General features: G+C 35.3%; 1 protein-coding gene across 4 annotated transcripts in view; it reads left to right on the top strand.

Annotated features, from left to right (window-relative positions):
* The window catches only part of WDR49 (WD repeat domain 49), a 179240-nt gene that overhangs the window by 109687 nt on the left and 52891 nt on the right, over window positions 1-16662 (top strand). For all 4 annotated transcript variants that reach the window (NM_001348951.2, NM_001366158.1, NM_001348952.2 and 1 more), the window contains 2 exons: window positions 11237-11367; window positions 15260-15358. In NM_001348951.2, coding sequence (NP_001335880.1) covers window positions 11237-11367; window positions 15260-15358 — 230 coding nt within the window. The remainder of the gene's footprint in view (window positions 1-11236; window positions 11368-15259; window positions 15359-16662) is intronic.

Genomic DNA, 16662 nt, shown 5'->3' with positions numbered 1-16662 from the left:
TAGTGTCATCCTGTATAATTCTTTAATTTTAGGCCTAAAAATCTATGAAAGAAATTTTGTGTAAAATGTACCAAAAGAACTGTCCCATTTAAAACATTTTATGCCATGCTTGGAAATGAAAATGGACCCTACAAGTAAGTCTGTAAGTTGTTTTATCAAAGTATTCAGATGGAATGGTAACAACTTGGCTTGTGTGTTCTCTAAAAAATTATCACATTTTCAAATTATGCATTTAATCTGTATTAACATATGGAAGTTTTGATGTAGTTTCCTTTCTCAGTCAACTCCAAAGAGTCAAAAGTGATTATCAAAGTTGAAAAGGCTTTTTGTATTTTCTTCAAATGTTAAAGCCATGTAAGTGAACAGCAAGGCTGATGAATTTGCTGTTTTATTTCATTGACATCTTAATTCAAAATGTAAACTGAAGTTTCTTTTCATTTCTTTGCACTGTTAATATTATTCTGTTTTTGGTTAGCTTGGGTAAAAACTGTTCACTGGTGTCATTTTTTATAATTAGCCTTTTATATCTTGGGTTTTTTGGTAAGCAAATAAATATTTTAAATGTAAAAAAAAAAAAAAAGAAAATCTTGTCTCCTAGAATAGGGACAGTTTCATTTCTTCCTTTTCAATTTCAGTATCTGTTGTTTCCTTTCCTTGCTTCTTTGAAATTGTAAAGATTTTTGCACAATGTTAAATAGGGCTGGTGAGAGTGAACATCTTTGTCTTGGTCATGATCTTAATGAGAAGTATTCTATCTTTCAATATTAAACATGACGTTAGATGTGGGTTGTATGTAGCTGCCATTTATCACATAAAAGATTTTTTTCTATTCATAAAAAAACAGAATCTTTCATATAATTTTAAATGATTCTGACAATTTTATTTATATTAGCATCCTTCATAGAGCACTGTAGAAAGTAGGAACTCAATAAATAGCTATTGATATAATTTGATTTTTGAAAGTATTTTTAAGTGAAATGAGACTAAAGATTTGAAGTTACTCAAAAATAAAACTTATATATCACAAGATATTACATTCTTAATAATTGCCTTACTAAGAAACTATAACTCTGTATGACTCAATTGGTTTCCATTATTAGGATAAGAATCAGAATGGAATATTCCAATGTTGCAATTTATTTTAGAATAGCCATATTGGAGGGAAAGAGGGGGCAGGTATTTTTGAAATTCACAAATAATTCTTACATACAATTTATATTTATTCTAGTATTCAAAATTTGACTCTACAAATTTTGGGAAAATAGGAAAAAGACTAAAAATAAGCTGAATTATATCAAACTAATTCTCTGCCTTTGAGATACCCTTTTTAAGCCTAAAAAGCAATGAATTGAAGAACAGGCATTAACAAGACATGACAATAGGACTAACAACAATTAACTTCTGAGGGAACAAGTAGTTAATTGAATTCTTGTGTTCTCTCCATGACAATTTTTACATGATAAGTTTGGGTTAAAAAGTTATTTGCCTAGCTCATTCATCCTAGAAAAAAGGTGGTTTTAAATATTTTTCTTTTTTTTTTTTTTTGCACTTGACAGGTAAACTAATTTTGTTCTCACATAATTGGTTGTCATATCTAAATTCTAAATTAGAGACGTGATTCATTTTCACAAGATGACACAATCATTCAGTAGCAGTAGTTGTGATACTCTCAGGGTGGCAAATGTGGAGTGTGTAATGGAACTAGTAAACTCCTTCAGTGCCAGGAAAACAAGTCTCTCAGACTCCTAAAATGGCCTTAAAATTGGCTCATTCTGAACTTTAATTTTACTTGGCAAAAGTATAAACTTAAAAACAGTTATCTTTGAAATAGAGAAAGTAAGAGCTGCAGTGTAGATTCTCAAATTATTTTAAGGACAACTGTCATTTCAAATGAAAGTTTCAGGTTAGGTTTTGAGGGGAAAGTGGTAGCTAACTAGTTTTTCAACATTTTGACACACAAGGTCAAATATCAGAAAGACTATTTTTTATGTCATGTTATAAGAAAGATTTTGTGCTTTTGGTGTTAATTCTCTGACTATACCTAGTATGTCAATTTAATATGAGTATCTTGGCAAAAAGACATTAGATGTTGAATTTTGGCTGAGAGATAATGCAAAATATGTAAGATTGACCTTCTCTCTCCCACTGCCACCTCACTGTCTCCCTCCTCAAAGGGTAATCTTTCAACCAAACTTACCAGTAGGAAAAGAGAAAATCAAAAATACATACACATAAAGTTACTATGAGATTAAACTGCAATTTCGGAACTTCAAATTACCTTATTTGTCTTACCTTATCTTGTGAAGCCTTTTTAATATTATTAAAATAATATATTAATATTACAATTATTTATTTATTTGCTTTTTATTTTTTATTTCAATAGTTTTGGGGGTACAGGTGGTGTTTGGTTGCAAGGAAAAGTTATTTAGTGGTGATTTCTGAGATTTTGGTGTACCCATCACACAAGCAGTGTTCACTGTTCCCAATGTGCAGTCTTTTATCCCTCACTCCCCTTCCACCCTTCCCCGCAAGTACCCAAAGTCCATTATATCATTCTCATGCCTTTGTATCCTCATAGCTTAGCTTCCACTTATAAGTGAGAACATACAATGTTTGATTTTTCCATTCCTGAGTTACTTCACTTAGAATAATGGTCTCTAACTCCATCCTGGTTGCTATGAATGTCATTATTTCAGTGGTATTCCAGGGTGCATATATATATATATAATATATAATATATAATATATATATGGTACATTTTCTTTATCCACTTATTGATTGACGGGCATTTGGGCTGGTTCCATATTTTTGCAGTTATGAATTGTGCTGCTATAAACATGCGTGTGCATCTGTCTTTTTCATATAATGACTTCTTTTTGTCTGGGGAGATACCCCATAGTGGGATTGCTGGATCAAATGGTATATCTAGTTTTAGTTCTTTAAGAAGTTTCCATACTGTTTTCCATAGTATTGTTCTAGTTTACATTACCACCAGCAGTTTAAAAGGGCTGCCTTTTCACCACGTCCATGCCAACATGTATTATATTTTGCTTTTTGATTATGACCATTCTTGCAGGAGTAAGGTGGTATCTCATTGCTGTTTTGATTTGCATTTCCCTGATAATGAGTGATGTTGAGCATTTTTTCATATGTTTGTTGGCCATTTGTATATGTTCTTTTAAAAATTTTCTATTTATGTCCTTTGACTATATTTGGTGGGATTATTTGTAATTTTTTTTTCTTGCTGATTTGTTTGAGTTCTTGTAGATTCTGGAAATTAATTCTTTGTTGAATGCATGGTTTGCGAAGATTTTCTCCCACTCTATGGATTGTCTGTTTACTCTGCTGATAATGTCTTTTGCTGTGCAGAAGCTGCTTAGTTTAATTAGGTCCCATCTATTTATTTATTTTTGTTTTGTTGCATTTGATTTTGGGTTCTTGGTCATGAACTCTTTGCCTAAGTCAATGTCTACAAGAGTTTTTCCCATGTTCTTCTAGAATTTTTATGGTTTCAGGTCTTAGATTTAAGTATTTGATCCATCTTGCATTGATTTTTGTGTAAGTTAAGAGGCAAGGATCCAGCTTCATTCTACATGTGGCTTGCCAATTATCCTAGCACCATTTGTTGAATAGCATGTCCTTTACCCACTTTATGCTTTTGTTTGCTTTGTCAAAGATTAGTTGGCTTTAAGTATTTGGTTTTATTTCTGGGTTCTCTATTTTGTCCCTCTGGTCTATTTGCCTTTTTATGTCTATGTCCCACCGGTCTATGTCCCACTGCTCTATGTAACATCCTGTTTTGGTAACTATAGCCTTGTAGTATAGGTTGAAATAAAGTAATGTGATGCTTCCAGATTTGTTCTTTTTGCTTACTATTACTTTGGCTGTGTGGGCTCTTTTTAGGTTCAATATGAATTTTAGGTTTGTTTTTTCTAATTCTGTGAAGAATGATGATGGTATTTTCATGGGAATTGCTTGAATTTGTGGTTGCTTTTGAAAGTAAGATCATTTTTGCAATATTGATTCTATTCATCTATGAGCATGGGATGTGTTTCCATTTGTTTGTGTCAGGTATGATTTCTTTCAGCAGTGTTTTATAGTTTTCCTTGTAGAGATCTTTCACCTCCTTGGTCAGGTATATTCCTAAATACTTTATTTACTTTTTTTTTTTGCAGCTGTCTTAAAAGGGGTTGAGTTCTTGATTTGGTTCTCAGCTTGGTTGTTGTTGGTGTATAGCAGTTTTACCAATTTCTATATATTGATTTTGTATTCTGAAGCTTTACTGAATTCATTTATCTGATCTAGGAGCATTTGAAGGAGTCATTAGGGTTTTCTAGAGAAGTCAGGGTTTTCTAGGTATACAATCATATCATTGGGAAACAGCAACAGTTTGACTTCCTCTTTACTGATTTGGATGCCTTTTATTTCTTTCTCTTGTCTGATTGCTCTGGTAGGACTTCCAGTACTATGTTGAATAGACGTGGTGAAAGTGGGCATTTTTGTCTTGTTTCAATTCTCAGGGTTAATGCTTTCAACTTTTCCCCATTCAACATAATGTTGGCTGTGGGTTTGTCATAGATGGCTTTTATTACTTTGAAGTATGTTCATTCTATGCTGATTTTGCTGAGGGTTTTAATCATAAAGTGATGCTGGATTTTGTCAAATGTCTTTTCTGCATCTATTGAGATAATCATATGATATTTATTTTTAATTCTGTTTATGTGATGTATTACATTTATTAACTTGTGTGTGTTAAACCATCTCTGCATCCCTGGTATGAAACCCACTTGATCATGTTGGATTATCTTTTTGAAATGCTGTTGGATTTAGTTGGCTAGTATTTTGTTCAGGATTTTCTCATCTATGTTCAACAGGGTCATTGGTCTGCAGTTTTCTTTTTTTATTATGTCCTTTCCTGTTTTTGGTATCAGGGTGATACTGGCTCCATAGAATGATTTAGGGAAGATATCCTCTTTCTCTATCTTTTGGAATAGTTTCAGTAAGATTGGTACCAATTATTCTTTGAATGTCTGATAGAATTCAGCTATGAATCCATCCAGTCCTGGACTTTTTTTGTTGGCATTTTTTTTTTATTACTTAATCTCACTACTTGTTATTGGTCTGTTCAGAGTTTCTATTTCTTCCCGATTTAATCAAGGGGCATTGTGTATTTCCAGAAATGCATCCAAATCCTCTGGATTGTCCAGTTTGTATGCATAAAGGTGTTCATAGTTGCCTTGAATGATCTTTCATATTTCTGTGGTATCAGTTGTAATATCTCCCATTTCATTTCTAATTTAGCTTATATGGATCTTCTCTCTTCTATTCTTGGTTAATTGCACTAATGGTCTACCAATTTTGTTTATCTTTTCAAAGAACCAGCTTTATGTTGCATTTATCTTTTGCATTTTTTTTGTTGTTGTTTCCATTTCATTTATTTTTGCTGTGATCCTTGTTATATTTTTTCTTCTGCTGGGTTTGGGTTTGTTTTTTTCTTGTTTCTCTAGTTCCTTGATGTATGACTTTATATTGTCTATTTGTGCTCTTTCAGACTTTTTGATATAGGTATTTAATGCTATGAACTTTCTACCCTAGCACCAGTTTTGCTGTATCCCAGAGGTTTTGAAAAGTTGTGTCACTATTATTGTTCAGTTCAAAGAATTTTTAAAGTTCCATCTTGATTTCATTGTTGACCCAAAGATCATTGAGGAGCAGATTACTTAATTTTCATGTATTTGTATAGTTTTGAGGGTTCCTTTTGGAGCTAATTTCCAATTTTATTCCACTATAGTTTGAGAGGGTACTTGATATAACTTCAATTTTCTAAAATTTATTGAAACTTGTTTTTTCACCTATTTTATGTTGTATCTTGGAGAATGTTCCATGTGCTGATGAAAAGGATGTATATTCTGCAGTTGTTGGGTAGGATGTTCTGTAAATATCTGTTAAGTCCATTTGTTCTAGGGTATAGTTTAATTCGATTGTTTCTTTGTTGACTTTCTGTCTTGACAACCTGTTTACTCGTGTCAGTGCAGTACTGAAGTCCCCCAGTTACTGTGTTGCCATCTATCTCATTTCTTATGTCTACTAATAATTGTTTCATAAATTTGGGAGCTCTCATGTTGGGCGCATATGTATTTAGGATTGTGATATTTTCCTGTTGGACTGATTTTTTAAATCATCATATAATGTTCTTGTTTGTCTTTTTTTTTTGACATGGGGTCACACTCTGTTGCCCAGGGTGGAGTGCAGTGGTGTGATCTTGGCTAACTGCAAGCTCTTGTTTGTCTTTTTTAACTGTTGTTGCCTCAGAGTCTGTTTTGTCTGATATAAGAATAGCTACTCCTGCTTGCTTTTCATGTCTGTTTGCATGGAATATCTTTTTCCACCCCTTTACCTTAAGTTTATGAGTCCTTATATGTTAGGTGAGTCTCTTGCAGATAGCAGATACTTGACTGGTGGATTTTTATCCATTCTGGCATTCTGTATCCTTTAAGCAGAGCATTTAGGCCTTTTACATTCAATGTTAGTATTGAGACGTGAGGTACTGTTTTATTTATTGTGCTAGTTTTTGCCTGAATACATTGTTGTTGTTGTTGTTTTTCCACTGTGTTATTGTTTCATAGGCTCTGTGAGATTTGTGCTTTAAGGAGGTTCTGCTTTGGTGAATTTTGAGGTTTTGTTTCAAGATTTAGAACTCCTTCTAGCCTTTATTGTAGTGCTGGCTTGGTAGTTGTTAACTCTCAGAAAGACTGAAAAAGACTTTCTCCTTCATTTATGAAGCTTAGTTTTGCTGGATACAAAATTCTTGGCTGGCAATTACTTTGTTTGAGGAGGCTAAAGATAGGACCCCAGTCCCTTCTGGCTTGTAGGGTTTCTGCTGAGAAATCTACTGTTAATCTGAGAGGTTTTCCTTTATAGATTAGCTGATGCTTTTGCTTCTTAGCCCTCAAGATTCTTTCCTTTGTTTGACTTTAGATAACCTGATGATTATGTGCCTGGGCGATGATCTTTTTGTGATGAATTTCCCAGGTGTTCTTTGAGCTTCTTGTATTTGGATGTTTGGATCTCTAGAAAGGTCATGGAAGTTTTCCTCAATTATTCCTTCTAAGGAATTTTCTAAACTTTTAGATTTATCTTCTTCCTCAGGAACACTAATTATTCTTAGGTTTGGCCATTTAATATAATCTCAAATTTCTTGGAGTCTTTATTCATTTTTTTTAGAAATTATTTTTTCTTTTTCTGATTGGGTTGATTTGAAATCCTTGTCTTTGAGCTCTGAAGTTCTTTCTTCTACTTGTTTGATTCTATTGTTGAAACTTTCCAGTGCATTTTCTATATCTTTAAGTGTGTCTTTCATTTTCAGAAGTTGTGATTGTTTTTTTCTTTTTGATATCTATTTATCTGGACCATTTTTTCATCCATATCCTGTATTTTTAAAAATTTCTTTTCATTGCTTTTCAGTTTTCTCTGGTATATCCTGGAGTAGCTTAATAATCTGCCTTCTGAATTGTTTATTTGACAATTCAGAGGTTTCTTCTTGGTTTGGATTCATTGCTGGGGAGCCAGTGTGGTCTTTTGCGGGTGTTATAGAATCTTGATTTGTCATATTACCAGAATTACTTTTCTGATTCCTTCTCATTCAGGTAGACTATTCCAGTGAAAAAATCTGGAATTCAAGGGCTGCTGTTCAGACTCTTTTGTCCCATGGGGTGGGGTGGTCCCTTGCTGTGGTGCACTGTCCCTTCCCCTTCCCCTAGGGATGGGGCTTCCTACGAGCCAGACTGGAGTGATTGTTACTGCTCTTCTGGGTCTAGTCACCCAGTGGGACTACCAGCCTTTGGGCTGGTGCTGGGGAGTGTCTGCAAAGAGTCCTCTGATGTGATTCATCTTTAGGTGTTTCAGCCATAGGTACCAGCACCTGCTCTGGTGGAGGTGTCAGGAGAGTGAAGTAGCTTCTGTGAGAGTCCTTGTAGATATATTTAGTGTGCTGGCTTTCTTGAATGCTCATTATGCTAACAGTGAAGTTGTCACATGGACAGACTCAGGACCACTGGTTAGCCAGGATGTTACAGGCAGTGGGATTAGCTGTTGTTTTCTCCTTCCTTGGAGCAGGGTTGTTCTGTCATGAGTTGCTGTAATGTCCTGAGTTTGTTGGCCTCCAGCCAGGAGGTGGTGCTTTTGAGAAAGCACCAGTTTTTCACCTGTCTCATGGAATTTGCAGCAACCTGTTGCTCCATTCAAAGGATCTGATTATTTAAAACATAGAATAATTCACACATTGATTCAGCAAATATTTGTTAAATGCCTATCGTGGTAGGTATTATTCTAGACACTGCTGTTGTAGAAGGAAAAAAACAAAGTATTTGCTCTTCTAGAACTTACTTTATAATAGAAGAGATAGAACATAAACAAGTAAATATAGATCACAGTGTCATACAGTAGTAAGTGTTATAAAAAATGAAATAGAGTGAGAGATGAGAGACTCAGAGAGTCTTCAGATAGGGTGGTCAGGGAAGGCTTGCCTGAGTAGGTGACATTTAAGCAGATAATTTTTTTCTTCATTTATGTGACAGATATTTATTGAACACTCAATATGTATAGGTCACTATGCTTGCTACTGTACGGTTACAGATTAAGACAAGATGCATGGTTTCAGAATTTATAATTTAGCCAAGGAGCTGAAACTGTATAACATTAAATGTTACAAGTTAAATGTGAATGATGTTAAGAGGTCAGAAGAGGAACTATTTCTTTTAATCCTAGTTATTAAGGAATTCTACCTGAATAAGATGGGCCTTAGAGAGTTGGTGTGTGAATAGGTAGATGTGGGTCTGTGTGTAAAAAGAAATTCATAGAGGCATGAAAAAGTATACCATGAATGAAAACAAAACCGACAGAAATATAAGAGGTACCTAGAGAAGACTAAGAATATTGTTTGGGTTGGACAAGAAGGTGTACTTCAGAAACTTAGCTCCTAACAATTCAAAACAGCTACTGCAAGCAAAAAATAAATTTAAAACTTTGAATTCTTTTTTTGAAATTCAGGCAAACTTTGCGTTCTCTTGCATTAATTCATCTATCTTTATTTTAATAGAAAATTATTCTTCCTTAAACTTTTTGAGCAAAATTAACACTTAAGAAGGTGTACCATATTTACTCTATGGCTTCCAGTGCCTCTCTCAAATACTTAATTGGATATTCATATATAACTGAAAAGCAAGGATAGAAGAATAGAGGGAAATAATTCTGAAAACATAGATTAGATCTATGTATTATTGGGTCTTAAATAACAGAGCTCCACATTTGAATTTTATCATATACTAAACGAAAAAACTAGCAAAGGCTTTCTAATGGGGCATTAGCCTTATCTTTTATCATGTTGTTTTCTCCATCCAGAGTGTTTTCATCTTGCAAATCCTACCCATATTTTATGGTCCAGTTCAAATATCAGTGTTCAACTCAGCCTTCTTTGATTTCTATGCTGGCCTTTCATGGCAGTTGATCAGTAATGCCTTAGCACTTACCACATTTTACCTTGAATTTTAGTCATTTTATGCTGACGGCTCTGTACCCTGCATCACTATGAACAAAGTGACTTCCACATGGCAAATAAGAAATTCTTATAGAATAAATGAAAATGCCCCAGAGTAGAATAATTAATCTAGTAGCCAGATGAAGAATGTGCCAGAGATGGGTAGACTAGAAGCAGTAAAATTTGTCAGTACGCTGTTACAATAAGTCAACCATGAGGTAGTTAGCACAGAACTAGGAAACTGTCATTGACTGTTTGAAGTAAAATAGTAAGAAACGAATATGTAACATATTGCAGAGATATAATCTAAGTATTTGATTTGACTGGGGAAGAGAAAGACACCCAAAGAGGCTGGAATGTTGGTCTATTAACCATATTTGGGAATTGCAGACAGAGGGCTGGTATGGAGGGAAGATGTCAAATTTGGATTTTTGACATGTTGAGATCTTTTGCAGATGGAAGCATTATACAGAACTGTCAACTGGCAAATGGAAACTATTTCTAGCAAAGATTATGAATGAAGAGAATTTAAGAGCCATTTGTATAGCAGTGACATTGGAACTCATGGTGATATATGAAATCTCTAAGCCAGTTTGAGTGGATAGAGAGAAAGGGAGGAATGAAGATAAGGAATGTTCCATTGTGTATATATACCACATGTTAAAAAGGGTGAGAGAAAGAAGGGAATAGAAAATAAAGAGTGGGGAAAGAAAGATCAGGAGGCAGGAAGAGAAGCAGAACATACTGGAAACTCTGAGGCTGAGGAGTAACACTGGTAGGACAACTAAGAGACCTTTAGAGTGGTGGGAATAAAAGATTTCAGGAAGGTGAAGAGAGAATGATGGTGAAAGACCCCATAACTTTGGTTGCAAATGCTCACATGAGATCTAGATGGCTCTAGAAGGAACAAGAGGCTTAGTATAGGCTGATGGCCAGAGCTCGGATCATCAAGTGAAAACAGGGTGGTATTAATGCCCCAACAATGGAATCTTTACACTCCTCCCTTCCCCACCAGGCACAAGGCATTTCATTCTTTGCCCATCCTGTCCTGTCCTCAAATTTATCAGCAGTGCCAGAAGATACTGACCTCTCTAATACTGTTCTTTCTGTTCAAAATGTATCTGTCCTATGTCCTACTTCTTTGGGGTGGCATTTTCCAAGTATGTTCCACAAATTGTAGTTCTTCAAGATGCTGTAGACTCCAAGAGAATGGATTCTGTGATCAGGTAAGTCTTGAAAATGCCACAAGGAGTGCTAAATATCCTGAGAAAATTGATGAAAAAAAACCCTTATTGACTTTGTTTGAAGTACAAAACATTATTTGTTCATAGGCCTGCCCCCTCTTTTAATTGTTATTGCTATAAAACTCGGTGATTTCATAATACCCATGTGGGGAAACTTTGCTTTAGGGTCGTGGTGATGGATAATTAATCTGATAAATTGTTACATGGTTTGTTGTTAACGATTATGAAAGGATAATTAACCTTCTATTGTCAAAAATTTATAATTTACCAGATAATTTAATGAGGTAATAAAAATGTTTAGTGTGGGAAACTCAGTATTATGGTTGTCAAGTGGGGATAAATTTTGGGCAGCATAGTCTTTTAAAAGTCTTGGATCACATCATTCAAGTGGATAGTGGCTACTCAATGTCTACATCAATTTTAGATCCACAGCTAAATTCTATATCCTTTTTGCTAGGGCTATTACTGTGTTTCGACCCCAAAACTTCAATCAATTTTTCATCCAGCCTGAAGAATGGAAAGGAGGTATACAGCACCATGATGACATCTTGTGTGCTGCGTTTTTACCTCCACAAACTCTTGTTACGGGTAAATTGAACTTTCACTTGACAATCATTGGTGAAGTTTGATTTGTTTTGGTTTGTTTTGGCTCACTCACCTTTAGAAAAGCTTTTTCTCAGTTGTTTTATATATATATATATGTATATGTATGTGTGTGTGTGTGTATATATATATATATATATATGTGTGTGTATATATATATATATATATGTATTTTGAGATGGGGTCTTACTCTGTTGCCCAGGCTAGAGTGCAGTGGCCAGATCTCAGCTGATTGTAACCTCCACCTGCCAGGTTCAAGTGATCCTCCCACCTCAGCCTCCTGAGTAGCTGGGACCACAGGCACGCCCCACCATGCCTGGCCAGTTTTTTGTATTTTTAGTAGAGATGGGTTTTTGCCATGTTGTCCAGGCTGATCTCAAACTCCTGAGCTCAAGCAATTCACCTGCATCAGCCTCCCAAAGTGCTGGGATTACAGGCGTGAGCCACTGTGCCCGGCCATATATTTCTTTTTAAATTTATGATTGACACATAATATTAATAATTGTACATATTTATGAGGCACAACATGATGTTTCAATACATGTATAAATTGTGCAATGATCAGATCATGGTAATTAGCATATTAATAGCCTTACACATATATCATATCTTAGTGATGAGAACATTAAAAAATCTTTTTTCTAGCTATTTTGAAGTATACAATACATTATTGTTAACTCTAGTCATCCTACTATGCAATAGAACACCAAAACTCATTCCTCCCATATAACTAGCTTTTTACCCATTGACCAATCTCTCACCCCTCCTGTCTCCCCTCCCCATCCTCTGGTATCCACTGTTCTACTCTGCTTTTATGAGAATAACTTTTTAGATTCCACAACTAAGTGATATGATGTGATATTTGTCTTTATATGCCTGGCTTATTTCACCTAACATAATGTCCACCAGGTTCATTCATGTTGCTGCAAATGACAAGCTTTTATTCTTTTTATGGCTGAATACTATTCCAGTGTGTATATATACCACATTTTCTTTATTCATTTATTCATTGATGGACATTTAAGTTGATTTTATATCTTGGCTTTTGTGAATAATGCTGCAAAAAACATAAGGGTGTGGTGCAGATATCTCTTCCACATGCTGATTTCATTTCCTTACCCAGTAGTGGAATTTCTGGATCATATGGTAGTTCTATTTTCAATTCCTCCATATCATTTTCCATAAAGGCTATACTAATTTACATTCCCACCAGCCATATGTAAGTGTTTCCTCTGCCCCATATCTTCACCAATACTTTTATCTTTTGATTTTTTGATAGGAGCCATTCTGACTGGAATGAAGTGATGTCTCACTCACTTAGGTTGTTTTGATTTGTATTTCCCTGATAATCAGTGATGTTGAACATTTTTTCGTATGTCTGTTGGCCATTTGTGTGTCTTCTTTTGAGAAATGTTTATTCAGGTCTTTTGTCCATTTTTAAATCAGGTTTTCTTTGTTGCAGAGTTGTTTGATTTTGTTATATATTTTGGATATTAACCCCTTATACTATCAGATGTAAAGTTTGCAACTATCTTCTCCCATTTTGTAGGTTGTCTCTTTGCTTTGTTGATGGTTTCCTTTGAGCATGAATAGATTTTTGAAGAAGCAGCACTTGCTCTTCTTTATCCTTATTTCTAGGGAAATATATTGGTAGTTCTGATCATCAGCTCCTGTGCCTGGCTGTCTGATTTCCCCTCACGGCTCTACCAATTGCCACAACTTGATAATGAGCAAGTTATTTAAACTCTAAATCATAATTTTGTCTGGCTGATAATAATATATCTATATTTTGGTTTATAGTTCAGATTATCTGTGCAAGCATTTAACACAGTGCTCAGCACACAATAAGCTCATCCATAAATATTAGCTTTTATTTGTATTGTCCATTTTCCAGGAGCAGCTTTAGGGCTGTCAGGTACGAATCACACGTTGGTGGCACTTAGATGTTTCATAATGTGAACATAGTAACTCTTTGGCATAATTTAGCCCAGATAATGTTGATAAAAGTCTGTCCTCACAAAATGTCTACAAATCCAAGCTCTTAAAATGATTCATAGGCATGCTTTGATGTGGCATATTAAAGAGAATGAAAAATTGTTGTATCATTTCTGGCCAAAGAATGCAATTTATAGAGACAGATTGCACCATGAAATTTTCAAGTCCATATTTTGACAGCTGAATTTTTTTTATAGAACCAAAAATGTCATCAATTAAGAGGAATGAAAACTTACAGGAAAAGATCCAGGGTATCTATGAAGTGTTACAATATGAGGTTTACTGATCTATCTATATTTAAAGTTCCCCTGTTTTCAGGACTAATGAAATTACTTTCTAGTAAGGCCAACTCTGTAGGTAAATTAGCTTTATAGCCACTGGAAGGCCACCCCTGCAGGGAGGATCACATCCTGAAATGTGATGGGCACTGAAGTGTAAAATGGTGTGGTTGTTATTGTGAAAGTATTAGTAAATACCGTTGTATTGGTGGGTAGACAATCTCTTCACTCATTCTCCTCCCATCAATCCTATGTGGAAATATTTGGTCAGTCACTGCTAGTAAAGCATAGGAGAAGATGGATATTTCTATGGACAGCTGAACTCCATCCCCCTGGTTCAATTTGTGAGCTTCAGAGATTGTGCTTTCTTTTTCTTTTTTTTTGGATGGAGTGGAGTCTCACTCTGTCGCCCAGGCTGGAGTGCAATGGTGTAATCTCGGCTCACTGCAACCTCTGCCTCCAGGGTTCAAGTGATTCTGCTGCCTCAGCCTCCCTAGTAGCTGGGATTACAGGCACATGCCACCACACCCAGCTAAGTTTTTTTTTTTGTATCTTTAGTAGAGACGGGGTTTCACCATGTTGGCCAGGCTGGTCTCGAACTCCTGACCTCCTGATCTGCCCACCTCGGCCTCCCAAAGAGATTGCTCTTTCTAGGACAATACAGAGTTTGGTGTGCATTTCTCTCTCCTCTCCCCTAATCCCAAAAAAGTCACCATTTGTACATCCCACCCAAACTCTTCTGCTCTCCTTACCATAGACACTCTGCTCAGTGGGTAGCTGTCCTCACTGAGCCACTGAGAACAATGGTCTGGGCGTTGCTGCTTTGTTCCTCCACAGGACATGGTTGCTCAGACTTCACCTCACTTTGGGCTTTTGGGCTATTTGGGCTTTTCTCTGTTCTCTGTGAAGAGCAGTACTGAAGGACTTTCTGTAGGAAAAACTTCAGGATTGGAGAAGACAATATTCAATAAAGACAATATTCAGTATTCAATATAGGAGGGAAAGTATGAAGAGAAGACACACACACCCACCCACACACATACACACACAAGAAGGGATGTAGGAAACAGAAACATAGGAGGACTTGATTTACTTGCTTTTACCCAATAATAAAAAGTAGGATGGTAATTAACATTTTTTCCAGTACTTACAATATGCTCAGTGCTATTGTAAATACTTTCATTCTCTACAATAACCCTATGAGATAAATAAAATTATTAACTCTTTTTTATAGATGAGAAAATTGCAGCATCAAGCAGAGTTAAATAACATGCCCAAGGTCACACAGTAAGTGGGAGAACCAAGACTCAAGCTCCAGTTTTTTATTTGCAAAGCATCTGTTCTGAATGCTTTATTACCATAAAATAAAAGGAAACAACAGTAATTTCTACACACCCATGCTCAGGTTATACTGTGGGGATTGTAAGCTCTAGAGTTAAAACAAATACCAATTATTATTATTCATGTTTCTAAAAATATAGAGTGCCCACTATGTGCCATATTCTGTGGAAGATATGTTGCTAATAACTTCTTCTGATTGCTGTTGCTCATATTTTCTATCTTAATCTCCTGGCAATTTATATTCTCCATCCTGTCTTGTGTAGGGAGTTATGATGGAGAAATTGTTCTATGGAACAATAGCACAGAGAATGCTCACCATGTTCTTCACCCTGATTACCAGAGGTTGCTAAAGTCAAAATTAGGTAAGTGTGAGTTTGAAACGAAAATAACATGGCTAGTCAAATCACAGTAGGCCTGGTTGTTCATGCATGTGCCTGATGCGACTTGATCCTAAATTATAGATGATTGGCTATAAGCCTGAAGGATTAAGGATATCATTGTCTTGCCAAAGTAGCTAAAGAGAACCTTGAGATTTACTTGGCTTAGCACACTCTCCATGGCATGCCATTTCTTCTCTTTATGCTACATTGGTATTTCTGAACTACCGACAGCAGGGAGCAAGACTGTCATTTTTATTTAGTTTATTTTTTTTCAATAAACCTTGCCAAATTACCTAAGAGTGAACGTTAGATACCCTTTGGTAAAAAAATGGAAATTCATGTTCACTCGATAGGCTGTTCAGACTCAATCTAGAGCTTGTAATAAATATTATGCCACCTGGAAATCTTAAATTATTCCTTGCTTTAGAAGCCCATGAGGAACATTAGATGGGAGTATATTGTATTTTATGGGAGTTTAGCAGAGCACATGAATATTTTATACTTAAGTAAAATGTCTTGACAATTGCCTTTCACATTTTATTTCAGTTTCCTTAGATACTAAAGGTTTTTCTTTAGACTAATTTATTTTGGTAATGAAAATGTCATTCTTCATGGCCCAGTGAGGTTCTGTTGTCTCAACTGAATAAACTCATAGAGGCTGAATTGAACTTTAGGAATGGACTGATCATCAGATGCAGTTTTCTTTTTGGGTGAAAAGCTGAGAAGCTATTTTCTTAAGAGTAGGAAAACAAACTTAAGAGATTTAGGGGATACTTGGTTGCAAACACAAAGCTCTGACCTGCTTTATGTACTAAGAGCTAATCATTTTAAGATTCATCTGAACTTGCCATGAGGAGGTTGGAATTCTGCCTCTTCTTCTACACTGGGCTTTACAATACACAGAGAGATAATTAATGAGAAAAGTGAATAAATATCAAATTTCTAAAAGACATGAAAGGCATTGCAATAGATTTCTTATTTTGGAATTTTGAAAATACGTCTGTATAGATTTTTCATAACTATGGGCAGACTGTTCCTAGATTCTGAGACGAATATCCCCAGTGTTTACTAGTGTGGCCTGGAGATGATGTCATTAGATAATTGAAGTATGCTTAGAAATGTTTTCTCCAGAGTAACTCGCTAACAAATAGTATTGTTAAAAAGGCTCATTTAATTAAACATAAATAGTCTTTAGAACTCATGTTCATTATAATATTTCCAAGATTAATTTTAATGATTAATAAGTTGAAAATGCCACAGTATTGGAATTACGTTTGTCCTGGGCA

This window comes from Homo sapiens, chromosome 3 (genome assembly GCF_000001405.40).
Source record: "Homo sapiens chromosome 3, GRCh38.p14 Primary Assembly".
Lineage (NCBI taxonomy): Eukaryota > Metazoa > Chordata > Mammalia > Primates > Hominidae > Homo > Homo sapiens.
Note: the sequence above shows the minus strand (reverse complement) of the source record. Positions and strands in the feature narration are given on the sequence as shown.